General features: G+C 40.6%; 1 protein-coding gene across 3 annotated transcripts in view, besides 1 other annotated feature; it reads right to left on the minus strand.

The window, feature by feature from the left end:
- Positions 1-27,351, minus strand: part of LGSN (lengsin, lens protein with glutamine synthetase domain) — a 297,657-nt gene that overhangs the window by 46,935 nt on the left and 223,371 nt on the right. The gene's annotated exons all lie outside the window — the stretch shown is intronic.
- Positions 24,246-25,445: an enhancer, noted in NCBI's record as "P300/CBP strongly-dependent group 1 enhancer chr6:64057036-64058235 (GRCh37/hg19 assembly coordinates)". NCBI's record gives its function as "activates an origin of replication core promoter dependent on BRD2, BRD4, P300/CBP, MED14 and CDK7 cofactors, with strong dependence on P300/CBP, by STARR-seq in HCT116 cells {active_cell/tissue: HCT116}" and the evidence as "EXISTENCE:reporter gene assay evidence [ECO:0000049][PMID:35650434]".

Consider the following 27,351-nt stretch of genomic DNA (forward strand, 5'->3'; position numbering starts at 1 on the left):
TCCTTTTCATTTGTTTCAGAAAGGGAATTTCTCCTCTCATCTGCCCCTTCGATAAACCTAAGTAAGCAATGAGTAGAAAACAGCGTAACTCCCTGAAAAAAATTATTTTGTAAAGTTGATACAATTTAAAACTAGTTTAAAATCATTTTAATTTAGCATTTTCAATGATTTTCACATATCCTTAAGCATTTATATATTTAGCACAAGCTTCATAAAGTTAAATGAAGTCAGTTGTGAAAGTGGAAGCATGAAATTCTGAATTCCAAGGCACATAAGGAGCTTGCAATCACATATAATAAGTTAAAAATTATTCCAAAACAGCCCAAGCTATTTTTAGAAGGAGAGTGCCACAGAATACATTTCTTTTTATTTGTAAGATTTATGGAGTCCAGGTGCAGTTTTGTTACATGAATATAGTGCATAGTGGTGAAGTCTTGGCTTTTAGTGTAGCCATCACCGGAATAGTATACATTGTACCTGTTAAGTAATTTCTCATCACTCATCCCACTCCACCCTTTTGAGTCTCTACTGTCTATTCACAGAAGACATTTTTATAACACCATTAATTTTAAAAAATTGGTAGCTGGTGTTGTCCTTGTTTCCTTCTTTTAATGGCATCATTCTACTTATTGTGATAATATCTACAAATTCTTGAGAGCACCAAAACCTCATATACACACACACACACACACACACACACACACACACACACACACACACAGGTTATGTTAATCAATATTAGCATATTTAAAAATATAATAATAATGGGCATTGTACATATTAACATAAATAGCATTTTTTATAGAAAATTGATTTCTTATTTTCACAAATTGCTCTAATGTCTAGCTTAAGAGAAAAACCACTGGAATCTCGTATGTTTTTGCATTCTTTTTTTTTTTTTTTTTGAAACACAGTCTGCTCTGTCACCCAGACTGGAGTGCAGTGGTGCGATCTGGGCTCACTGCAACCTCCGCCTCCCGGGTTCAAGCAATTCTCCTGCCTCAGCCTCCCAGATAGCTGGGATTACAGGCACCCGCCACCACACCTGGATAACTTTTAGTATTTTTAGTAGAGACAGGGTTTCGCCATGTTGGCCAGGCTGGTCTGGAACTCCTGACCTCAGGTGATCCACCTGCCTCAGCCTCCCAAAGTGCTGGATGACAGGCGTGAGCCACCGCTTCCGGCTTGCATTTATTCTTTTGATACAGCCCATGTCATGCAACCTCTGGAAAACTTCACTATACACTAATGCTAGATGAGAATGAAAAGGCAAATAGAGTCTTACCATTACTGTGAAAATAATTTTGACCTCACAGTCTCCTCAAAGGTTCTTGGAATCCCTAGGGGTCCCTGAACCATACTTTCAGAACTGCTGCTGTAGTGAAACAACCAGCAGATTAAAGACTTGAGTTCTATAGGAAACACTGTTTTTTAAAGACATATCACATAGTTTTCTTGATAACAGTTTCCTTTTGTGCAAAATGTGGTTTAGGGCAAGATGATCTCAGGTTTCTCTTAACTCTGTTCTGTGATTGTGTAAGATATTAAATGAATTTTATAAAACAACTGAGAATACACATTGTCTTCATGAGCACATGGAATATTCTCCAGGACAGACTATATGTTAGGACACAAAACAAGTCTAAACAAACTTTTAAAAATTAAAATTATATCAAGTGTTTTATCAGACTCCAATTAAATAAAACTAAAAATCAACATCAAGAGGAACTTTGGAAACTCTACAAATACATGCAAATTAAACAACATGCTCCTGAATGGTCACTGGGTCAATGAAGAAATTGAGAAGAAAATAAAAAAAAATTTTTTGGAAACAAATGAAAATAGAAAAACTACATACCAAAATGTGTGGGGTACAGCAAAAGCTCTGCTAAGAGGGAAGTTGATAGCAATAAACACCTACATAAAAAAAAAAAACAGGAGGCTGCACATGGTGGCTCATGCCTGTAATCCCAGCACTCTGGGAGGCCGAGGCGGTCACATCACAAATTCAGGAGATCAAGACTATCCTGGCCAACATGGTGAAACCCCGTCCCTACTAAAAACACAAAAATTAGCTGGGCGTGGTTGAGCGCCTATAGTTCCAGCTACTCAGGGGACTCAGGCAGGAGGATCTCTTGAACCTGGGAGGCAGAGGTTGCAGTGAGCTGAGATCACACCACTGCACTCCAGCCTAGAAGACTGAGTGAAACTCTGTCTCAAAAAAAAAAAAAAAAAAAAGGAGAAAATTTTCAAATATATAATCTAATGATGCACCTTAAGGAACTTGATTAAAAAACACAAAACAAACAAACAAAAAGAACAAACCAAACCCAAAACTAGTGCAAGGAAAGAAATAATAAATATCAGAGCAGAACTCAATGAGATAGAAACTAATAAAATAATACAAAGGTTCAACCAAACACATTGGTTCTTTGAAAAGATAAACAACATTAATAAATCCCTAGCTAGACTAACCAGGAAGAGAGAAGATCCAAATAAGCAAAATTAGAAATGGAAAAGGAGACATAACTGATATCACAGAAATACAAAAGATCATCAGAGACTGTTATAAACAATTATACACTAACAAACTGGAAAATCTAGAGGAAAAGGAGAAATTCCTAGAAACATAGAACCTACCAAGATTGAATAAGGAATAAATAGAAAACCTGAACAAACCAATAATGAGTAGCAAGGTAGAATCAGTAATAATGTGTCCGGAATTGGTGGGTTCTGGGTCTCACTGACTTCAAAAATGAAGCCGCAGACCCTCACGGTGAGTGTTACAGCTTTTAAGGTGGCGCATCTGGAGTTTGTTCCTTCTGATGTTCAGATGTGTTCGGAGTTTCTTCCTTCTGGTGGGTTCGTGGTCTCGCTGGCTTCAGGAGTGAAGCTTCAGACCTTTGCGGTGAGTTTTACAGCTCATAAAAGCAGTGTGGACCCAAAGAGTGAGCAGTAGCAAGATTTATTGCAAAGAGCGAAAGAACAAAGCTTCCACAGTGTGGAAGGGGACCCGAGTGGGTTGCCACTGCTGGCTTGGGCAGCCTGCTTTTATTCTCTTATCTGGCCCCACCCACATCCCGCTGATTGGTAGAGCCGAGTGGTCTGTTTTGACAGGGCACTGATTGGTGGGTTTACAATCCCTACAATCCCTGAGCTCGACACAAAGGTTCTCCACGTCCCCACCAGATTAGCTAGATACAGAGTGTCCACACAAAGGTTCTCCAAGGCCCCACCAGAGTAGCTAGATACAGAGTGTCGATTGGTGCGTTCACAAACCCTGAGCTAGACACAAGGTGCTGATTGGTGTGTTACAAACCTTGAGCTAGATACAGTGCCGACTGGTATATTTACAATCCCTGAGCTAGATACAAGGTGCTGATTGGTGTGTTTACAAACCTTGAGCTAGATACAGAGTGCCGATTGGTATATTTACAATCCCTGAGCTAGACATAAAGGTTCTCCACATCCCCACCAGACTCAGAAGCCCAGCTGGCTTCACCCAGTGGATTCTGCACCAGGGCTGCAGATGGAGCTGCCTGCCAGTCCCGTGCCATGCACCTGCACTCCTCAGCCCTTGGGTGGTCGATGGGACTGGGCACTGTGGAGCAGGGGGTGGCGCTTGTTGAGGAGGCTTGGGCCGCACAGGAGCCCACGGAGGAGGTGGGAGGCTCAGGCATGGCGGGCTGCAGGTCCTGAGCCCTCAGGCCCCACAGGAAGGCAGCTAAGGCCCAGCAAGAAATCGAGCACAGCGCTGGTGTGCTGGCACTGCTAGGGGACCCAGTACACCCTCTGCAGCTGCTGGCCTGGGTGCTAAGCCCCTCATTGCCCAGGGCCAGCAGCGCCTGCCGGCTGCTTTGAGTGCAGGGCCTGCCAAGCCCACGCCCACCCAGAACTCCAGCTGGCCCGCAAGTGCCGTGCGCAGCCCCAGTTCCAACTCACGCCTCTCCCTCCACACCTCCCTGCAAGCTGAGGGAGCGGGCTCTGGCCTTGGCCAGCCCAGAAAGGGGCTCCCATAGTGCAGCGGTGGGCCAAAGGGCTCCTCAAGTGCCACCAAAGTGGGAGCCCAGGCAGAGGAGGCGCCGAGAGCGAGCGAGGGCTGTGAGGACTGCCAGCACGCTGTCACCTCTCAATCCCCCCTCTAAACAGGACACCCTAACTGCTGTTGGCAATTTGGCTGATGACCACTCTAGCTACTTCCTGCTGGATAGGGGTGAAGAAGGGGCCCTGCAGTTGTAGTGTCCTTCAGAGGGGAACTCTCTAGACCAGGTAAAGTGCCAGTGGGTCGGTCCAGGGGTCCTCAGTAGAAGTTGTTAGTTGAACTCATTTGGGGTTCCATTTGTAAAACCATCTGTAGCTTGATGGCCTCGATTCTAGAGGAAACAAATTTGACAAGAAGGTTAAAAATACAGGCCCCAAAGGTAAGTAACAGCAAGATGGCTGCCATGGGACCTAGAAAGGGGAGAAGCCATGTTGCCCAACTCCAGAGGTTGGTATAAGAATTTGAAAGGTGTTGTCTGATTTCGGAAGCCTTTTCCTGTAAACGCTGGGCGGCATCTCATGCTATCCCAGACTGGTTAGTGTAGAAACAACACTCTTCCCCTAAGAAGGTGCAGAGTCCTCCTTTCTCAGCAGTGAGGAGGTCTAGGCCTCGGCAGTATTGGAGAGTCGCTGCTGCCAAAGAGTCTATTTGGGATTGTAAAGTAAGGATAGATTTCATTATTTCTTGCAAACTGTCTGAGAGGCAGATATGGGTTGAAGATCCACATAAGTAGGATATGCCTTGGCTGGGTAGATGGACATTTACCCTGGCTTTTAAAGGAATAGGGTACACTGTTTTTTCTTTACTACTTCCATCTCTCTTTCTTTCTCTTCAACTTCTCCTTTATCTTTTCCTCTCTCTGTCTCTTTCTCTTTCTCTTTCTCTCTTTCCTTCTTGCTGGTCTTTCCCTACCTCTGCCAGCCGCTTATGCTGCTGTTCTCCCCTCTCCTTCCCATTTTGATGGCTTTGGTAGTGTAAGACTCCCACCTCTTTGTGTTCCTGCACCGTGTGCAGTAACTCCATAACTTCCCTGTGGCATCCAGTGGGGGTTCCCAGAGGTTAGGAACTCCCATTCTTTCCATATCGCAGCATGGGCATGTAGGATTAGATAAGCATACTTGCTATCTGTATACACATTTATTCTTTTTCCCTTTCCCAGTTCTAAGGCTCGGGTAAGTGCCACTAGTTCTGCTAACTGGGCACTGGTCCCTGGGGGAAGAGGCTTGCTTTCAAGTATGATTACATCAATAACTATGGCATAACCTGCCCTTCATATCCCATTTTCCACAAATGAACTTCCATTGGTATATAGGTTAAGGTCAGGATTAGTTAAGGGGACTTCTAAGAGATCATCTTGGGCGGCATAAGTCTGGACTATAATTTGTTGGCAGTCATGCTCGATTGGTTCCCCATCCTCTGGGAGAAAAGGGGCAGGGTTGAGGGCCACGCACATGCATATTTCAAGCACTGGTCCCTCAAGGAGTAGTGCCTGGTATCTAAGTAGGTTGTTGTCTGATAGCCATAAACTTCCTTTGGCACCTAGTGTGCCATTTACATCATGAGTACTCCAGACAGTGAGATCCTTTCCTTGTATTATTTTGATAGCCTCTGACACTAAGATGGCCACTGCTGCAACTACCCTTAAACAGTGAGGCCAGCCTTTTGCTACTACATCAATTTCCTTACTTAGGTATGCCACTGGTTGTGGGGTTGTCCCACGAGTCTGAGTAAGGACTCCAAGAGCTATCCTGGCTCTCTCTGTGACGTATAAAGAGAAGTTCTGTCCTGTAGGAAGGCTTAAAGCTGGAGCTTGTACTAGGACCTGCTTTAAGGTTTTGAAGGCTGTTTCTGCCTCTGGTTCCCATTCTACTAGATGAGTATTTGCCCTCTGGGTTTCCTTGATTGGAGTATAGAGGAGCCTGGCTATCTCGCTGCATCCAGGGATCCATAGTTGGCAAAAGCCGGTAATTCCAAGGAACCCCTTCAACTGTTTTAATGTCTTAGGGCAAGGATAAGCCAGTAAAGGCTGTATTCATTCCTTGCTGAGGGCCCTGGTCCCTCTGGCTAAGATTAGACCTAGATATTTAACCTGCTGTAGGCAAAGCTGGGCCTTCGACCTAGACAACTTGTACCCTTGATTAGCTAGAAAGTTCAACAGATCTAGAATAGCCTGCTGGCACGAGGCTTCTGAACTGGTAGCCAGAAGTAAATCATCCACATATTGAAGGACCAGAGTGCCTGGACTTGAGAAGTAGCTTAGATCTTGGGCCAGTGCCTGACCAAACAGATGAGGGCTATCCCTAAACCCTTGGGGCAAGACCGTCCACATAAGTTGGGACGTGTGGTCTGTGGGATCCTGGGAGTCAGAGTGCAGGGGAATACAAAAGAAGGCATCCTTGATGTCCAGAACGATGAACCATTCTGCTTCCTCTGGTATTTGAGAGAGCAGGGTATAGGGGTTGGGTACAACTGGATATAGTGGAATTACTGCCTCAATGAGTCTAAGATCTTGCACTAGTCTCCACTGACCGTTCGGTTTTTGTACTCCCAGAATTGGGGTGTTGCAGGGACTGCTGCATTTCCTTACTAAGCCTTGAGCCTTCAAATGTTTAACAATATTCTGTAATCCTTTATGAGCTTCAGACCTTAAGGGATATTGCCTTTGATAAGGAAAAGTTGTGGGATCTTTTAACCTGATTTGGACTGGGCGGGCATTTTTTGCCTTTCCAGATTCTCCTTCCAATGCCCAGACTTCAGGGTTGATTTCCTCCTCAAGTAGGGGACAACAAATGGGTAACTTTTTCCCCATACTCATGCAGAAAATAGCTCCAGCCTTGGCTAATATATCCCTCCCTAATAAGGGTGTGGGACTTTCAGGCATAACAAGAAAGGCATGTGAAAAGAGCAAAGTCTCCCAATTACAACTGAGAAGGTGGGAGAAATACCTGGTTACAGGCTGTCCCAGGATTCCTCAGATGGTAATGGACCTTGAGGACAGTCATCCAGGACAGGAGATTAACACTGAGAAGGCCGCGCTAGTGTCCAGGAGGAAGTCAATTTCCTGGCCCTCAATAGTTAAACATACCCGGGGCTCAGTGAGGGTGATGACATGAGCTGGCGCTTGCCCCAGGCACCCTCAGTCCTGTTGTTGGATCATCTGGTTGGGGCTTCTGACCCAGGGAACCTTCATCCTCTGGGGCAGTGCACCTTCCAGTGATTGCCTCGGCATAGTGGACATGGACGAGGGTGCAGCTTATTTCTCATTGGACAATGTTTTTTAAAGTGTCCTAGTAAACCACACTGATAATAAGCCCTACCAAGTGATTGGCCTGCTCCATTTTCTGTCCTCTCTGAACCACCAAGATTTGTTTGTCTGAGGGACATGACTAAGGCTGCAGCCTTTCTCTGATCTCATTTTTCCTTTTGGGCCTGTTCCTCTTGGTCCCTATTATAGAACACTGAGGTTGCCAGGTTTAATAATGCCTCTAGATTTTGTTCAAGGCTCAGGGCTTGCTTTTGGAGCTTTCTCCTGATATCTGCGGCTGATTAGGTAATAAACTTATCTTTTAGAATCAATTGACCCTCGAGTGATTCAGGTGACAGGGGAATATATTTTCTTAAGGCCTCTCATAGCCACTTGAGGAAGGCAGAAGGATTTTCTTCCTTTCCCTGAGTTATGGTGGACATCATTGAATGGGCTTTTTTCTAATTCTCCTTAGTCCTTCTAGAACACAAGTCAACAGATGTTTACAACTCCAGTCCCCATGATCTGAGTCAAGGTCCCAGTGAGGATCCATACTGGGGATGGCTTGCTGACCAGTAGGGAATTTGTCCCTTTCTTCAGCTGTCATTCTGTCATTTACTTGACTAAGCTACCATGTATCTCCAAACTCTCGGGCTGCAGCTAAAGCTGCATTCTTTTCATTAAAGGCCAGGGTTTGATCTAACAGTAGCATGACATCCCTCCAAGCGAGGTCAAAGGTTTGCCCTAGACCCTGTAGGACATCTATGTACCTATCAGGATCATCTGAAAACTTCCCCAGGTCTGCCTTGATCTGTTTTAAATCAGAGAGGGAGAAGGGGACAGGTACCTGAGTTGGGCCAAATTCCCCTCCCCCTACAGCTTAAAGGGGACATAACCGATAGCCCGGGGGGTTTTGTGGTCCTTTTGGAGATTTCTTTGCTTATTTCCTTCTGGGCAGGGGAGATTAGAGGAGGATTATCATTAATAGGAAGGGGAGCTACAGGGAGGCTAGGATATGGGTGTAAGCTGAGAGGTCCTCCTCTGGGATGTAAATTGCAAGCTTTGCATAGTTGTGTATTCTCCCTCAATGAAAAGAAAGCTTGGACATAAGGTATTTCACTCCATTTGCCTTCCCTCTTACAGAAAAGATCAAGCTGCAGGATAGTACTGTAATTTGTACTTCTCTCAGGTAGCCATTTTTCCTTATCAGAGAGAGAATATTGGGGCCAAGCCGTAGTGCAGAAAAAAATGAGCCACCTCTTTTTCAGGGTTTGTGGGTCAAATTGGTCCCAATGGCTTAGGATACATTTCAAGCGTGAGCCTGTTGATGCCTGAGTGTTTCCCATCTGAAAGACAAAACCGCCCGTGGTTTTGGTTTATTTTGTTTCTCCCCCTGCCCAAGAATCCACAACGGTCCCTGGACCCTGCTGATCGGAATAGTTGTGCTCACCAACGCAGCAGCAGAAACAACCCCTGCCCAAGAACCCACAACGGTCCCTGGACCCTGCTGATCGGAATAGCTGCACTCACCTACGCAGCAGCAGAAACATTAGTTTTCCTCCCAGACCACATGGAGGACCGAGGAAGGTCAGATTTAGTGGCCCTTACTGATGCATCCTTGAAAACCTGCACCCTTGCCTGTCCTCCTAGACCACAGGGAGGACTGACCAAGAAAAATCGGATTTAGTGGCCCATACCGACGCATTCTTGAAAACCTGTTAGAGTCCTAAGCATTCTCCTGTTAGTATTGGGATTTTACCCCTTTCCTATAAAGATGTTATGCCCCAAAAATGAAGTGGAGGGCCATACCCTGAGGGAGGGAAGGGATCTTCAGGGTTGGAAGAGTGACACCTTTTGTCCTCACTTATATGAATAGGAAGGATACAATTTCTGAGGCTCCCCATATCCTAGCTTCAGGAATAGCTTTTGTTAGGCCTATTAGTCTGAGGAGGGATCCTAAAATTCCAGGTAGTGCCCACTATGACAGGGCTTTGGGCAAAAATTGTGTCTTTCTGATTGGTGAGCCTGGGTGCCTAAAGAAGGTAACAGAGTCCTGGAATTTATATTAGAAATCATTCTTATAGGAGAAACTAGAAAAGCACTAGAGACAGGTAGCAATTTTTAGAAGCAGGTCTAACCTCAGAGAAGAGAGGTGAGAGGAAGTTTGTCTGGCAGGCATTGGGACCCAGGGGGCAAGGGTCAGGATAGATAGTATAGATGGGCGAGTCTCACTTGGGCGACATGCCTTTGAGAGTTCCGCTCATGGCCGCAGGGTCAACCAACATGTTGTTGGGACCCCAGAGCTGCATGGCTTTCCTCTCTGTCAACCCTCGGCTCAGCCCAGAAGTAAAGGAAAAGAGGAAGCTGTTTCTAGGCAAATCAACGGTCCCAACTCCAAAGAGTTGGGGGTTGTTAGAGAGCCCTTTCCTGGAAAGCCTGACACCCATGTCTTTAGTCCAGCGGCCGCGCTAGTCGCTTTCCACTGGCCGACAGGTGCCCGGTATTTAGCCCCTGAATTCTAAGGAAAGACAGGACAGAAGAGCAATCGAAAGGGGTCCGATGGTACTCACTGCTTGGTGATAGGTGATGGTCTCATCGCTCAGCAATAGGCAATGGTCTCACTGCTTGGCGATTGTCTCACCACATGGCGGTAGGCGAAAGTCCCTTCGTGGTCACCAACATGTGTCCGGAATTGGTGGGTTCTTGGTCTCACTGACTTCCAGAATGAAGCCACGGACCCTCGCGGTGAGTGTTACAGCTCTTAAGGTGGTGCATCTGGAGTTGTTCATTCCTCCCGGTGGGCTCGTGGTCTCTCTGGCTTCAGGAGTGAAGCTTCAGACCTTCACGGTGAGTGTTACAGCTCATAAAAGCAGTGTGGACCCAAAGAGTGAGCAGTAGCAAGATTTATTGCAAAAAGTGAAAGAAAAAAGCTTCCACAGTGTGGAAGGGGACCCGAGCGGGTTCCCCCTGCTGGCTCAGGCAGCCTGCTTTTATTCTCTTATCTGGCCCCACCTACATCCTGCTGGCTGGTAGAGCCAAGTGGTCTGTTTTGACAGGGCGCTGATTGGTGCGTTTACAATAAGAAGTCTCCCAACACAGAAAAAGCTGAGGACTGGATGGATTAACTGCTGAATTCTACCAAATGTATGCAGAAGAACTAATAACAAGCCTTACAAAAAGTCGAAAGGAAGGAAATTCTCCCTAAGTTATTCTACAATGCAAGCATTACCCTGGCACCAAAACCAGGCAAAAAAAGAAAAGAAAAGAAAAGAGGGAAGGGGAGGAGAGGGGAGGGGGAGAGAAGAAAGAAAGAAGGAACGAAAGAACAAAAGAATGAAAGAACAAAAGAACAAAAGAATGAAAGAACGAAAGAAAGAAAAAGAAAGGAAGGAAGGAGAGAGAGAGAGGAAGGAAGGAAGGAAGGGGGGAGGGAGGGAAGGGAGGGAGGGAGGCAAAAAAAAGAAAAGAAAAAGGAAAGGAAGGGGAAGGGAAGAGGAAGGGGAAGGGGGAAACTACAGGTCTATATGCCTGATGAACATAAACTCAAAAATCCTCAACAAAATACTGGCAAACTCAATCCAACAGCACATCAAAAAGATAAGACACTATAATCAAGTGGGACTTATACTGTGGGTGCAAGGATGGTTCAACATAGGCATATCAATGAATATGAAACATCACATCAACAGAATGAACAAAAACCATATGATCATTTAAATAGATGCAGAAAAAGCATTTGATAAAATTCAACATGGCTTCATTATTAAAGCTCTCAAAAAACTTGGTGTAGAAAATATACTTCACAATCATAAAGGTCATATATAACAAATGCCCAGCTGACATTTTACTAAATAGGAAAAAGTTGAATGCCTTTTCTCTAAGAACTGGAAGAAAATAAGGATGCCCATTTTAACCACTTATATTCAACATAGTACTAGAAGTCCTAGCCAGAGCATCAGTCAAAAGAAAGAAATAAAAGGCATCCAAATTGGAAAAGAGCAAGGCAAATTGTTCGCCTTTGCAGATGACATGATCTTACATTTAGAAAAGCTAAAAGACTACAAAAAAAATTCAAAAATGATAAATTCAGCAAAGTTGCAAGATACAAAATTAACATATTAAAAACCAGCAGCATTTCTATACACCAATCCTGAAATATCTGAAAAAGAAACCAAGAAGACAATCTCATTTACAATAGCTACAAAAAAAACTAGAAATAAATTTAACCTATTAGATAGAAGATATCTACAAGGAAAACTACAAAACACTAATGAAAGTAATTGAAGAGGACACAAACAAATAGAAAGACTAATTCCATGCTCAAGAATTGGAAAAATTAACACAGTGAAAATGACCACACTGCCCAAAGCAATCTACATATTCAATGCAATCCCTATCAAAATATTAATGTCGCTTTTATAGAAACAGAAAAAACAATTCTAAAATTTCTATGAAACTGAAAATGAGCCCAAATAGCCAAAGTAATTCTTAGCAAAAAGGATGAAGCTGGAGGCATCACACTACCTGACTTCAAAATATATTACAAGTGTATAGTAACCAAAACAGCATGGTTCTGGTATAAAAATAGACCCATAGACCAATGAAACAGAATAGAAACCCCAGAAATAAATCTGCATACTTAACGGCCAGCTGATCTTCAACAAAGCCATCAAGAAAATACATTGGGCTGGGCGCAGTGGCTCACATCTGTAATCTCAGCACTTTGGGAGGCTGAGGAGGATGGATCACAAGGTCAGGGGTTGAAGACCAGCCTGACCAACATGGTGAAACCCCATCTTTACTAAAAATACAAAAAAAAAAACTAGCTGAGCATGGTGGCAGGTGCCTGTAATCCCAGATATTCAGGAGGCTGAGGCAGGAGAATCACTTGAACTACTGGAGGAGGAGGTTGCAGTGAGCCGAGACTGCACCACTGCACTCCAGCCTGATGACAGAATGAGACTCCATCTCAAAAAAAAAAAAAAAAAAATACATTGAAGAAAGGACAGTCTCTTTGATAGTTGGTGCTGGGAAAACTGGATGACTGTATGCCAAAGAATGAGACTAGACCCCTATCTCTCACCACACACAAAAATAAATTCAGAATAGGTAAAAGACTTACAAGTGAGACCTGAAACTATAAAACTACTTGAAGAAAACATAGGAAAAACTCTTCAAGACATTGGTCTATGCAAAGATTTTATAACTAAAACCTCAAAAGCACAGGCAACAAAAACAACTCAGCAGTAAAAAACCCAAAGCACAAGCAACAAAAACAGCTCAACAATAAAAAATACAATAATGCCATTAAAAAGTGGGCAAACGACATGAATAGACATTTCTCAAAAGAGACATACAAATGGCCAACAGGTGTATGAAAAAATGCTCAACATCTCTAATCATCAGGGAAATGTCAATCAAAACCACATCAAAATCACATGAGATGTCCTATTACCCCACTTAGAATGGCTATTGTCAAAAAAACAATAAATAACATGTTGAAGAGAATGTGGAGAAAAAAGAACTCTTATACACTGTTAGTGGAAACGTAAATTAATATAGCCACTATGGAGAACACAATGGAAGTTTCTTAAAAAAAAAATCAAAAAATAGAACTACCGTACAATTCAGCCATCCCACTATTGGGTATTTATTCAAAAGGAAGATAATTCAAGGTATCAAAAGGACAAATGTACTCCTATGTTTATTGCAGTACTATTCACAATAGAAGATATGAAGTCAACCTAAGTGTCCATCAACAGATGACTGGATAAAGAAAATGTGCTATACATACACAATGGAATACACAGAAAGACAAATATTGAATATTCTCACTCATATGTGGGAGCTAAAGAAGTTGATCACATAGAGGTAAAGACAGATATCGCAAACTGGTAAGATTGAGTGGGGGAGGATTAAGAGAAGTGGGTTAATGGATACAAACATACAGTTAAATAGAAGGAATAATTTATAATGTTGATAGTAGAGTAAGGTGAGACTATACAACGCATTTTTTAAAAGTTAACAACAATGTTTTGTATTTTTTTAAAGAGCTAGAAGAGAGGACTTGAAATGTACTAAACGCACAGAAATTATAAATACTTGGATAATTGATACCTTAAATACTTGATTTGATCATTACACATTCTATAAATGTAACAAAGATTCACATGTAGCCTATAAATATGTACACATATAGAGTATAAAAATAAAAGAAAAACAGAGAGACCCGTCTGCAGTCCCTGCACTTACTTATGCTTCAGATGGTATTACTAGTTTCACACATGCCTTCACTCCCATGCTGTAATTGTAATACAATTTATAAGGTCATTTTCCCTATAGAATATCTGTGTGTGTGTGTGTGTGTGTGTGTGTGTGTGTGTGTGTGTGTATATATATATATATGTATAAAATTATAAAGTTCCTATGTATAGATTATATGGAATAATAAAAAATAATGATTTTTTTTTTTGAAATGGACTCTCGTTCTGTCACCCAGGCTGGAGTGCAGTGGCATCATCTCGGCTCACTGCAACCTCTGCCTCCCAAATTCAAGCGATTCTCCCACCTCAGCATCCCGCGTAGTAGCTGAGATTACAGGTGTGCATTACCACGCCCTGCTAATTTTTGTATTTTTAGTAGGGACTCGAATTCCCAACCTCAGGCAACAGTACCGCCTCAGCCTCCCAAAGTGCTGGGATTGCAGGCGTGAACCACCATGCCCGGCCCCAAAAATTATGACATTCCTTTCTTTTCTTTTCTTTTTTTTTGAGATGGAGTCTCACCCTGTCACCCAGGCTGGAGTGCAATGGCACAATCTCGGCTCACTGCAATCTCCACCTCCTGGGTTCAAGGAATTCTCCTGCCTCAGCCTCCCGAGTAGCTGGGATTACAGGCACGCACCACCATGCCTGGCTAATTTTTTGTATCTTTAGTAGAGACGGGGTTTCACCATGTTGGCCAGGCTGGTCTCAAATCCCTGACCTCTTGATCTGCCCGCCTCGGTCTCCCAAAGTGCTGGGATTACAGGTGTGAGCCACTGTGCCTGGCCTGACATTTCTAAATGTAATGTAGTTTCCTAAAATACAAAAAGCCAGCCTGGCCAACATGGCAAAACCCTGTCTCTACTGAAAATACAAAAATTAGCCAGGCATGGTGGCATAGGGCTGTAATCCCGTTACTCATGTGACTGAGGCATGAAAAATCACTTGAACCCAAGAGGCAGAGGTTGCGAGGTAGAGGTTACAGTGAGCCAAGATAGCGCCACTGCACTCCAGCCTGGGAGACAAAAGCAAGACTCTGTCTCAATTTTAAAAATAAATAAATAAATAAATACAAAAAAGACTTTGGACGAGGTGAGGTGGTTCTCACCTGTAATCCAGCACTTTAGGAGGCCAAGGCAGGTAGATCACTTGAGCTCAGGAGTTTGAGACCAACCAGGGTAACATGGCCAAACTACATCTCTACACAAAATACAAAAAATTTAGCCAGGCATGGTGACACATGCCTGTGGTCCTAGCTACTCAGGAGGCTCAGATGGGAGGATCACTTGAGCCCAGGAAGTTGAGCCTGCAGTGAGCCATGGTTGCACCACTGCACTCCAGCCTGGATAACAGAGTGAGATACTGTCTCAAAAACAAACAACAAAAATATGCAACATAAGAGAAAGTTTGGTGATGATTATATAAGAACTCTGTACTATTTTATTTATGTATTTATTTATTTCTCTTTTGAGATGGAGTCTTGCTCTGTTGCCCAGGCTGGAGTGCAGTGGTGCAATCTTGGCTCACTGCAACCTCCACCTCCCAGGTTCAAGTGATTCTCCTGCCTCAGCCTCCCAAGTAGCTGGGATTACAGGTACACACCACCACCCCTGGCTAATTTTTGTATTTTTAGTAGAGACAAGGTTTCACCATCTTGGCCAGGCTGCTCTCAAACTCCTGAGCTCAGGTGATCACCTTGCCTTGGTCTCCCAAAGTTCTGGGATTACAGGCATGAGCCACCGTGCCCAGCCAGAACTCTGTAATATTTTGACAACTCTTCTTTAAGTTCAAAATTATCTCAAAAATAAATAAATAAATAAATAAGAAGCCATTATAGGCACTCTAACATCACCACGATTGAGATCATAAGAGTAGGGTTTGGGTTGGGGGTACAGCTACATTTCAGATTCTTCCATAGCACCTGTCTGCTCTTCAGGCCCTCACTGAAGCTCTGAACCTCAGGGATTTTTTATTTCTTCCTAGTTCAATCTTAGTAGGTTATATATGTTCAGGAATTCACCCATTTCTTAATAGGTTTTCCAATTTTTTGGCATATGGTTTTTCATAACAGTCTCTGATGATCTTTTGTATTTCTGTAGTATCAGTCGTAATGGCTCCTTTTTCATTTCTAATTTTACTTATTTGGGTCTTTCTTGTTTTCTTGGTTAGTTTAGCTAACAGTTTATTGATTTTATCTTTTCAGGAAACAAACTTCATTTTATTGATCCTTTTCTTAGTCTCTATTTTGTTTCATTCTGTTCTGATATTTATTATTTTTCTTTCTTTCTAATTTTGGGTTTGGTTTGTTCTTGCTTTTCTACATCCTTAGGTTGTTTATTTGAAATCTTTCTATTGTAATGTCAGCATTTATTGCTACAAATTTCCCTGTTAGAACTTCTTTTGCTGTATTTCATAGGATTTGTTGTGTTGTGTCTCCATTTTAATTTGTTTTGATCATTTTTTATTTCCTTCTTAATGTCTTCATAGACCCAATTATTATTAAGAAGCATGGTGTTTAATTTCCATATATTTGAAAACTGTACATTTTCAAAGTTCCTCTTGTTATTCATTTCTAGTTTTATTCTATTTTTATCTGAGTAGCAACTTGATATGATATTGACTTTGTTTTAATTTCTGAGACTTGTTTTGTGGCCTAATATATAGTCTATCCTGGAGAATGTTCCATGTGCTGATGAGAAGAATGTGTATTTTGTAACTGTTAGATGAAATGTTCTGTAAATGCCTGTTAAGTCCATTTGGTCTATAATGCAGATTAAGTCTGATGTTTCTTTGTTGATTTTCTATCTGGATGATTTCTCCAAAGTTGAAAATGGGATATTGAAGTTCCTAACTGTAATTGTATTGGAGTTTAATCTCTCTTTAGTGCTAATAATCTTTGCTTTACCTATCTGTGTGCTCCTATATTGAGCGCACATATATTTACAATTGATATATGCTCTTGCTGAATTGATCCTTTTATCATTATATAATGATCTTTGTCTTTTCATTGTTGTTGTTTTTTATGTAGAATCTAATTTGTCCGACATAAGTATAGCTACTCCTGCATGCTTTGTCTTCCATTTGCATGGAATATTCTTTTCCTTCCCTTCGCTTTCAGTGTATGTGTGTCTTCACAGGCGAAGTGAGTTTCTTGTAGGTATCATATAGTTCAGTCTTGGTTTTTTTCCATCTATTCAGCCAGTCTGTATCTTTTAATTGGGGAATTTAAACCATTTATAATCAAGATTGTTATCAATAGGTGAGGACTTGCTCCTGTCATTATGTTGTTTTCTGATTATTTTGTATATCTTTTGTTCCTTTCTTCCTCTTTTATTGTTTACTTTTATGATTTGGTGGTTTTCTGTAATGATAACTTGATTTGTTTCTCTCTCTCATTTGTGTATGTGCTCTACCAGTAACTTTTATATTCTCATGTGTTTTCATGATGTCAGATAGCATTTATTTGCTTCCAGATGTAGGACTCCCATAAGCTTTTTTTGTAGATCCCCTCTAACAGTGATTAATTCCCTCAGTTTTTGCTTTTCTTATAAAGACTTTACTTCTCCTCATTTTCTGAAAAAAAGATAGCTGTACTGGTTATAGTATTCTTCTTAACTAGCAGGGTGTTTTTTTTTCTTTCAGCACTTTGAATATATCAACTCATTTCCTCCTGGCCTATAAGATATATACTGAGAAATATGCTGCTGGTCTGATGAGAATTCCCTTATGTGTGACTTGACGCTTTTCTCTTGCAGTCCTTAGAATTCTTCTTTGAGTTTTGATAGTTTGACTATAATGTGCCTTGGAGAAGACCTTTTGGGATTAAATCTATTTGGGGATCTTTGAGCTTCCTGTATCTAGATGTCTATATCTCTCTGAAGATTTGGGAAGTTTTCAGTTATTATATTATTAAATAGATTTTCTACATGTTTCCCCATCTCCTCTCCTTCTGAAACTCCCAAAATTAAATATTTGTCCACCTTTTGGTGTCCTACATGTAACATAGGCTTTCTTCATTCTTTTTTATTCTGTTGTTGTTGTTTTGTCTGACTGGGTTACTTCAGACCTGTCTTCAAGTTCAGAAATTCTTTTTTCTGCTTGATCTAGTCTATTGTTGAAGCTCTCCCTTGTATTTTTTTTTCCTTTCATTGAATTCTTCATTTCCAGGATTTCTGTTTGGCTTTTTTTTTTAATGATATCTATCTCTTTGTTGAATTTCTCATTCATATCATGAATTGTTTTTCTGATTTCCTTGTATGGTTTATCTTTTATATCTCACTGAGTTTCCTTAAGATCATTATTTTGAATTTCTTAGGCATTTCATAGTTTTCCTTTACTTAGGATCTATTATTACAGGACTATTATTTTCCTTTAGAAAGTCATATTCCCTTGCTTTTTATGGTTTGTGTGTGTGTGTGTGTGTGTGTGTGTGTCTTTACATTGTTATCTGCACACCTGATATAACAGTCACTTATTCCAAATTTATGGATTGGTTTTTATAGCGAAAGACTTTTTTCCTGTAAAAGTATCTATAGCATTGGTTGTGTAGTGTGCTTTGGTTTTGATTATGAGTGGATGCAGTAGTGTAGTCTCCATATGATTTCTTCAACTGTAGTCAACATCAGCAGTGTCTCTGAGTTCCTCAGTGGCTTAGGCTACACTTGTTAGTGTTGGCTTTAGTGAGGCTCTGCTGGAAACTGGAACACCAGGCAGTCCAGTCCTCAGGCTCCTGGGAAGTGCATATAGGTATCAGCAGAAGCAAGCTGATCCTCAGGCCCCTAGATGGCACACATGGATGCCAGCAGTGGCAGTGGCAGTGGGCAGGGCCGGCCGATCCTCAGGCTCCCACACAGCATGCATGAGCACCACTGGTTGTAGGTGGTATGGACTGATCCTCAAGCCTTCAAACAACATGTGTAGGCACTGGCAGTGGTGGGCTAGGCAGGCCTGTCCTTACGCTCCCAAACAATGTGTGTGAGTGGATCGGTCTTCAGGATGCCTGAAAGCATGCTCAGGTGCTTGTCCGTCCTGTCTCTAGAGTGGCTGGGGTTGCTGTCAGTAGCAGCAGCCCCAGGAAGGTAGCTCCCAGGCTCTGGGGATTATGCATTATGGCTCCTTTTGTCCTGGGGGAAGACTTCCTGGTGTGCTAGTCCACCTGTTCCCTGGGATATAGGACACTGCATTGGCTAGTGTGATGGAACCCCCTATGACACTGGAAAGGAAGGGTCCAGCTGGCATTGTGACATTGCAAACCCTAAATTGACATTTGAGAATGTCAGTGGGGGCTAAAGGGATATTTGCTTTGCCTTTTTTTTTCTTCCTAACATCTAAAACCCTTCCTATATTGGAAGAAAACCCTATCTTGAGAGTCTTTGTGCAAGTTATACACTGATTATCACAACGAAACAGAAAATATCAGATTCTCAAATGTCTAACAATGCAGCCAGCCTGTGTACCTTATCTAAGCATAGATGTGTGTCCTCTGTTCAACCACTTAGAGCTACCAGGATTCTAAGTCAAAGGAGCAAGGATGCAAAGGAACAGGGATGGTGAAGATTTCATTTTAGAGCTGGTAGCAGTGACTGAAAGTTCTAGTTTCCAGGGGTAAAAGTAGTGATGGTACAAGTCACAAGACATGGTGTCCCATGGGTGATATCAATGGGTCAAGCTACATCACCCAGTGTACAGTGGCAGAGGTATCTTTGTAAGGCCAGTTCTGTGTCATGCTTTTGGTTGTAGTTCAGTCTGTTACTCTTCATTTCCAAGCTCCCTGATGACTCTGCAAGCTGTTCAATGTCTTTACAATTTCATTTTCTGTTTAAATCAACCAATTTGATTCTGTCACTGAGAACCCCAATTTATACATATTATTTATGCAATTATAGAATTAGTTCAGTTCAAACGATTTAAGCAATAGTATTTTTTAACTTGAAATGTTATTATTTATGTATTGGCATATAATAGATTATTTAAGGCTGTTAAAAATTATTTAAAATAGTTAAAAGAGGGTTGGAAATAGTCATGACACATGCTATGATTCAATAAATGTAATGAACATAGCAAGTAGTACACATTAAATAGTTATACTTTATGTCTATAAAGAAAATATTAGAACCATATTTTTTAAATTCAGTCAACAAAATGAACTTGAACGTCAGTGTCCAAGAACTACCAAAGAGAAAATTGCTCAATAATTTCATTATAGTGTGATTCATAAGATCTCACTAAAAGCACTGAAGTGTATTCTATATAGGAAGGTTTGGTGATCAGCTTTTTAAATTTTACTCGTGAAATAATAGGAATTAATACTGTCCCTTTTTACATCGATCAGAACCATGCACTGAAACTCAGATATAACACAAGGCTTTCAAATTCTGGCCCTAGCCTATGTCAGCTTGATTGTGTCATTTAGCCTTAATCCTTATTCACCAATCATGTTTCCTGCAGTGATGTCACACTGACCATTAACCATATGGGAGTCAATCTCCTCTCTCCCCTACATTCACTTATTCAGCCTGCTTTTGAGTTGAAAGTTTTTCCTTGTTGGATCAAAATATTGCTTCCTCTCAAACATATGAGACATTTTCAGATTCACTTCTTGGTTTTAATGACATTATAAAATTTGTTTAATATAAAAGTCTTCAAGTTCCTTAATTGCAATAATGACTTGCCTATTCATATGAGTTATAAATATAATAGTTTGAATAATGTTAATTATGATTTTATACCAATAAAATAGTTGAAAGAAAACAGTCTAAGCTAACTCAGTATGTAGGCTTGCATAATTTTTTAATTAAGTCCTATTCACGTTTTAACCCGAATCTCCATAAAAGATTAGGCATTCAATTACATATTTATTATTTCCTAGTTACTTTCATGAGTCTGAGATATGATCTGCCATTTAAGAGTTCCTATCACTTTGAATTATATGTTTATAAAACAGAAGAGTCAAAAAATGTAACTTAAATAAATGTGTGTGTTTAAAAAGGAATTACCCAGCTCACAATTTTTCAACTTATAAATAAGCAGTCCTGCTCTACCCTTAGTTGCTTCCCTGTCACTCTCCATGTGATCTATAGTAGAAATCTAGGCCTGGCAGATGACAATGAGTAGGGTATGGGGAGCATTCCTACTCAAGCAGCAAGGAAGAGTATCAGAACTTCCTAGGAAAGGGAATGCTCTTTTGCAAAATATGAATGGTTACTGTGGTAGGCAGAATTCTAAAGAGAGATCCCCCAAGATTTCCTTCCTTTGGTTATTTAATCAAACTACTCTAGGTACTGCCGTGAAGGGATTTTGCTAATGCAACTAAAATCCCAAACCACTGATTTTAAAATACAAAGATTATCTGGGTGGGCCTAATCATATCCCATGAGCCTTTTAAAAGCAGTTTTCTCTGGCTGGCAGAAGGGAAATTCAGAGAGGTAGGAAGCCACTAGGATTCAGTGAACCATTGCTGGCTTGAAGACAGAGGAGGCCACATGACAAACAATGACAGCAACTTCTAGAAGCTGAGGGCAGCCCCCAGAGAACCACCAGCAAGGAAACAGGGACCTGAGTCCTACAGATGGAAGCCACATTTGGTCAAAAATCTGAAAGAGCTTGGAAATACATTCTTCCCCATAACCTCCATATGACAGCCCAGCCCAAAATCAAAACATTGGTTTTGGCCTTGTAAGACCCTAAAAGAAGAAAACTCACCCTGACTTCCAAGTTATAGAACTATGAGATAATAAATAGGTGTTGTCCCTAAATTAGTGGTAAACTTGTTACACAGTAGTAGAAAATGAATACAGTGATAAAGGGCTAGAAATAAGCATGGCTTGGACTTCTCAGTAACGAAGCTGTAGTTTAGAAGAAAATGTAAGTTGCTTTTGAAATTCTGAGGAAAAGCAATTTCAAATCCAAAACTATCTATCCAGTCAAACTATCAAACAAATGTGAGGATATACCAAGATATTCTGAAGACACAGTATTGTCATTATGAAGCCTTTCTGAGGAGGTTACTAGAAGATGTGCTCCTCTACAAAGAAAGTAAACTAAAAAAGAAGAAATCATGCAGTTCAAGAAACAACAGATCCTACTTATAGAAGAAGTGAAAAGAGTTCCCATGATGATGGCTGTATACAAGGCCCACAGAGAAATCATTCTAGAGGAAAGCAGTTCTGAAGGCCTGGGAGAGATTCTTCAGAATGGTGGACATTGTAAGAATGCCTGGTGGGTCTGAATGTATGAAGAGGAGATTTAGACAACTGGCTGAGAGTTTAGGGCCAAATTGATTATTAGTATATAGAAAGACAAGTAAATAGAAAAGAAAAAGAAAAAAAAACCTGTTATTAGCCCAAAGGAAAACAAAAAGTTGTAGTACAGAAAAAAATACTCATAGAATGATATTTGGCAAAGGAATAAATAGCATTTATAGTTAAGATACTATAAGCACACATAATACTGTAAACTTACAATGTGATAATGTGATTATGTTAGAAATGCATACCACTATCAGTATTTTGGTTTAAAGTCTTATGTGTTCATCAAAATCTACCATTGTCCTCTATAGCATTGGCTCACAGGAAACCCAATCATTGTTTATAACTTAATTTCTAAAGGAAAATAATTCTATGACCTAAATAAGAGATTTACAATTGCACTTTTGGAGCTGACACCATTATCCCACAAAAAAAAATAAATATTCCTTTAAAAAATTATTAGCAATATTATTATGCTAATGCTAAAAACATTAGCAATAGAAGGATGAAACCTAGACTCAGAAATATATGTTTTGGGTTGGGTAATTCTTTGTTTCCTCTTTAACAGATTTTAGTAAGGTGGTTTCTTTTTTATTTCTTCTCTTTTACTTTTCTGTAAATTTAAAATTTTAAATGCGTATTCAATAACCTCACATCTGTGTCAGCTAAGATTGGGTTCATTTGGGAATAACAGAAAATCTAAAATAATAGTAGCTTAAACTAACTAGAATTTTATTTTCCGCCAAAAATAAAATTTAAAGACAGGCAATTCAAGATTTGTAGTGTATTCCAAAGACACAGTATCTTCATGATGAGACCTGTCTTGGGAGGTCACTAGAAGTGTCAGAGATCCCTTTTCTTTATGTCTTATTACTCCACCAATCACAACCATTGCATTTTCCATATGAGCCAAGATAACGATAGGTAGCAGATATCATGTTCTCATTTCAGGCAGCAGGAAAGCCCTGTTAGGTGGTCATGCCCCTCACTTTAAGATTACAACCTTCTGCTTACATCCCACTGGTCTAGAATTAATCACATGGCGACCTTACTCCAAGAAAGATTAGGAAGTATTGTCTACTGTGGGCAGCCATTTGTTCAGCTAGAAATCATGGGTTCCATAACCACAGAAGCAGCAAAGAATGGGCCAACCAACACTCTTTGGTCCAATATCTTTTACTTAAAAATTTTCTCCCACTTACTGAAAGACCATCCTTTTCATAAACTAAATTTTCAAAACTAAATGGTCTGTTTCTGGATTCTATATTCCATTCTGTTGATGCATTTGTTGAATTTACACTAATTCTGCATTGTTTTATTTACCAAAAATTTAAAGTATACTTTTGTGATATTGTGACATCGGAAATATCTATTTGGTCTCTGTCCCCGGTTCCTGGCACATAACTCCTAAAACTCTTCTAATTTCCTGAGCAATAGGGGTGCTAGGTGAATATTTCGTTCTAATAAGGTCTTTGACACAGAGCTCCCAATCCCTTGAAATTTCCTGGGTGATAGGAGTGTCTCTTGTTTTAATGAGGCAACTCTTGGTGGGCGTCTGCATGGAGGTTGGTAACCAGAAAGACTAAGTCATGATTTAAAGCCTGGAACTTTTGAGCCCACCCCACCATCGTCCTGAAAGAGGAGAAAAGCTGGACATTGAGTTAATAATTGATCATATCTTCTTGAAAAAGCTTCCGTAAAAATCCCTGAACAATGGGTTTGGAGAGCAACTGGACTGCGGAACACATGGAGATGCTGAGCCCTGGAGAGGACGTGGAAACTCTGTACCCCTTCCCCCATATCTTGCCTAATGCATCTGGCTGTTCATCTGTATCTTTTATAATATCCTTTATAATAAACTGGCAAAAAAAAGTAAAGTGCTTTCCTGAGTTCTGTGAGCCACTCTAGTAAATGATTAAATGATTTAACCTAAGGAGGGAGTCATGTGAATCCCAATTCATAGCCAGCCGGTCAGAAGTTCCCAGATTGCAGTTGGCCTCTGAAGTGGGGGCAATCCTGTGAGACTGAGCCCTTAACCTATAGGATGTGACTCTAACTCTAGGTAGATATTACCAGAACTGAATTGAATTATAGGCCTGGAACTTTCGAGCTCACCCCACCATCCTTTTGAAAGAGGAGAGAAGCTGGAGATTGAGTTAATGCTCGGTCATGCCTTCTTGAAAAAGCCTCCATAAAAATCCCTAAACAATGAATTGGGAGACCTATGGACTGCTGAACACATGGAGAAGCTGAGAGGGGTAGCATCTCCTGGCGAAGTATGAAAGTTCCAGTCTTCAAATCATGGCTTAGTCTTTCTGGTTACCAGCCTCCATTCAGATGCCCACCAAAAGTTGCCTCATTAGAACAAGAGGCACTCCTATCATCCAGGAAATTTCAAGGGATTGGAAGCTCTGTGCCACCAGAGACACCCAGTTGATGTTTGCTGGAGAATTAGTATGTGGGGAAAAATAAATCCTACCCATCTGGTGTCAGAAGTGAGGAACTGAGAATGAGTGGTGAGTAGGAGAGGGAAAAACAATTCATGGGGCAAATCTTACTTCATTATTTCTTTTCAAAATTTCTTAGTTTTATGTATTTTTCCTTACTGATTAATTTTAAAACCAGTCTTTTTTAAAACAAAAAAAAGAACTCCAAAGTACTTTGAATTTGCATTAACTAAATATTTGGGGGAAATTGACATTTTTACAATTTGGAGGGTTATAATAATATGGTTTACTATTGATTTAGGTCTTCTTTGTGCTCTTCAGTTAAGTTATAAGGTCTAATTTACTGTTCAGACATATAATTTCAAGGTCTATGACTTTCCTGCTTCAGTGTCTTTTCTAATCCATCATTATTCCATCAGTTCATTCACTCATTCATTCTTTCATTCATTCATTTGTTTTCCAAGATGGCTTTTTCCAGTATGCTTAAAAGGCTAGAGAGGTCTCTAAGATAAGGAACTGCTTATCTTACAGTGACACATTTCATGAAATAAGATAACTGATGCCAAAGTCTTTTGAAAATTTGGAAAATTACCACGTAAATATCTGTTCCATTCTTATACTCAATTAGTCACTAAGTGAAAACATGTAAGCTGAATCTCACAATGACTAATGTTTCTGCAGCCTGCTTAAATAAGCGGTAACTTATTTAAAAATCCAAAATGCTTGCTAAGTCATATATGACTCATACAGCAGAGTCCATTAGTCAGGAATGACTTGTAGGGAAATATTCCTAATATTAGAAAAAGGTTAATTGTGTGAATAAGAAAATAAGATATAAGATCAAGTCTGCTTCTAGCTCTTGAAAATTTTCTTAAAATTGGAGGAGAAACTCCTTTCTCCAAGTAAGAAAAAAACAAATAAAACCACTGATTTATAACAAAAGAAAGCATAAATAAGCTAGTCATTCAATATTAGCCAAGAGCTGAAGAATATAGTCTAACGTAAATACAGCAGCTCAGGAGACAATGACCTTGAAAACTAGCAGCCACAAAAGAAAGAACAGACTAATATAAAAGTATGGACTGGGAGGCAGAAATGGGCAGATCACCTGAGGTCAGGAGTTCGAGACCAGCCTGGTCAACATGGCAAAACCCCGTCTTTACTAAAAACACAAAAATTAGCTGGGAGCTGTGGCGCATGCCTGTAATCCCAGCTACTCGGGAGGCTGAGGAAGGAGAATTGCTTGAATCCAGGAGGCGGAGGTTTCAGTGAGCCGAGATCACACCACTGCACTCCAGCCTGGGCGACAGAGTTAGACTCTGTCTCAAAAGAAAAAAAAAAATATATGGAAATGTAATTAAGCATTCACAATGCAGGTCTACGAGCTCTTGGTGCGCATGGCATTCTAGTTTCTATTTTGATTTTTTAGTTAACGGCTCAACAAATATTTTGGAACATATCATCTCTACAAGGCACTAGTAGATGTTGAAGAGAGACAACATCTTATTGCACATCTGGCCTACAGTAATCTGTGTTTGGTAGGAGTCATGGAGCATTATTTAGTATCTTAACCCAAAGTAGGATACTAACTACACTAGAAATGAAGATTTTTACTTTTTTTTTTTTTTTTTTTGCTTTTTTAAAATAGAGGTGGGGTCTTGCTGTGTTGCCCGGGCTGGTCTCGAAATCTTGGCCTGAAGCAATCCTCCTGCCTCGCCTTCCTAAAGCACTGAGATTACAGGCATGAGCCACCACACCTGGCCAGAAGTATAGATTTTTAAAACTACGTAGTAAAGGCTTTCAAAGGGGAACAAGTTAATGCAAAGTTCTTTGGAAGAGTTAGCATTGGAATGCAGCCTTCAAGCAATCGAGAATTGTTCCTGTAAAGTTGAAGATAAGGAAAAGGGGGCAGAAGTCAAAGCACTGAGCTTACTGTGCACAGAAAAACAAGGTGAATACTCAATTTAATGATGCATGAAGAAAGGAAGAGAAACAGGAGTCCTTTAGACCTTGATTTTCAAAGAGCTTCTTACATGCCATAGGCTGCCCTCAAACTTTTGGTTGTTTTGTTGTTATTGACTTAAGTAAGATAATAAACTTAATCAGAACTGTGCTTTGGAATGATTCATTAAGAAGCCACTCTGTAATGTAAATTGTGAGAGTATTAAGGCAGAGACTGGAGACTGGGGGCTAAATTAGGAAATATTTGTAGCTGATGAGAAACATGGTTGGTAGAATTCTAAAAAGGCCCCTAAATTCCCAACCCTTGGTGCAAAAACACCTTCTCCTAGGTATTCAATCAAACATTAATCTAGGTGTTGCTGTGAAAAGATTTGTGATGTGGCTATGGCCTCAAATCAGTTAAGGTTGAGAAACATTCTAAGAAAGTCTGACCTAATCACAAACCCTTTAATCTGTGTTTAGAGGTCAGCAACAGGGAAGTTGGAGAGATTCAAACTATGATTGCAATTCGACAAGGGAGAGTTTTTCCACCACGGGCTTTGAAGATGGAGAGGACCACATGGCAAAGAATGCAGATGGCCTCTGGAAGCTGAAAGTGCCCTTGGCCAACAACCAGCAAGGAAACAGGAACCAGAGTCTTACAATAAAAAGGGCTTAAAATAACACAAATTTATGATAGCACAGCTTCTGTAGATGAGATGTACTAACGACGTGATTGAGTTCTGTGCTCAAGTTATCATAAGACTGAAATCAAGGTGTTGGGTAGGCTGAGTCCTTCTACGGAGACTGGGAACAATCCACTTCTCAACGCATTCTGGTGGCATTTAGGGATAAGCTGGTTTATCCAGGCCAGCTTCACAGAAGATGAATATAGTTCCATTTCAGTTATTAGAGACCTACCCAAAGATTTAGAAGAATGTTTGATTATTTGAAAGCATTTTAAAACTATTCATTCAACAAGGAAAAGTTGAAAAAGAGTTCAGTACCTATCATGTAAATTATTAAGGTTGGTGCAGAAGTAATTAGCAAAAACCGCAAATACTTTTGCACCAACCTAATAATTAACTCATGAGGAATGGTAAAAGTGAGTAAGCTTTTTAGTTAAGAAAACTGGATTTATAGAGTTATTCTAGCTGTGTTCTATTCA

This window comes from Homo sapiens, chromosome 6 (assembly GCF_000001405.40).
Source record: "Homo sapiens chromosome 6, GRCh38.p14 Primary Assembly".
In the NCBI taxonomy this organism is placed as follows: domain Eukaryota; kingdom Metazoa; phylum Chordata; class Mammalia; order Primates; family Hominidae; genus Homo; species Homo sapiens.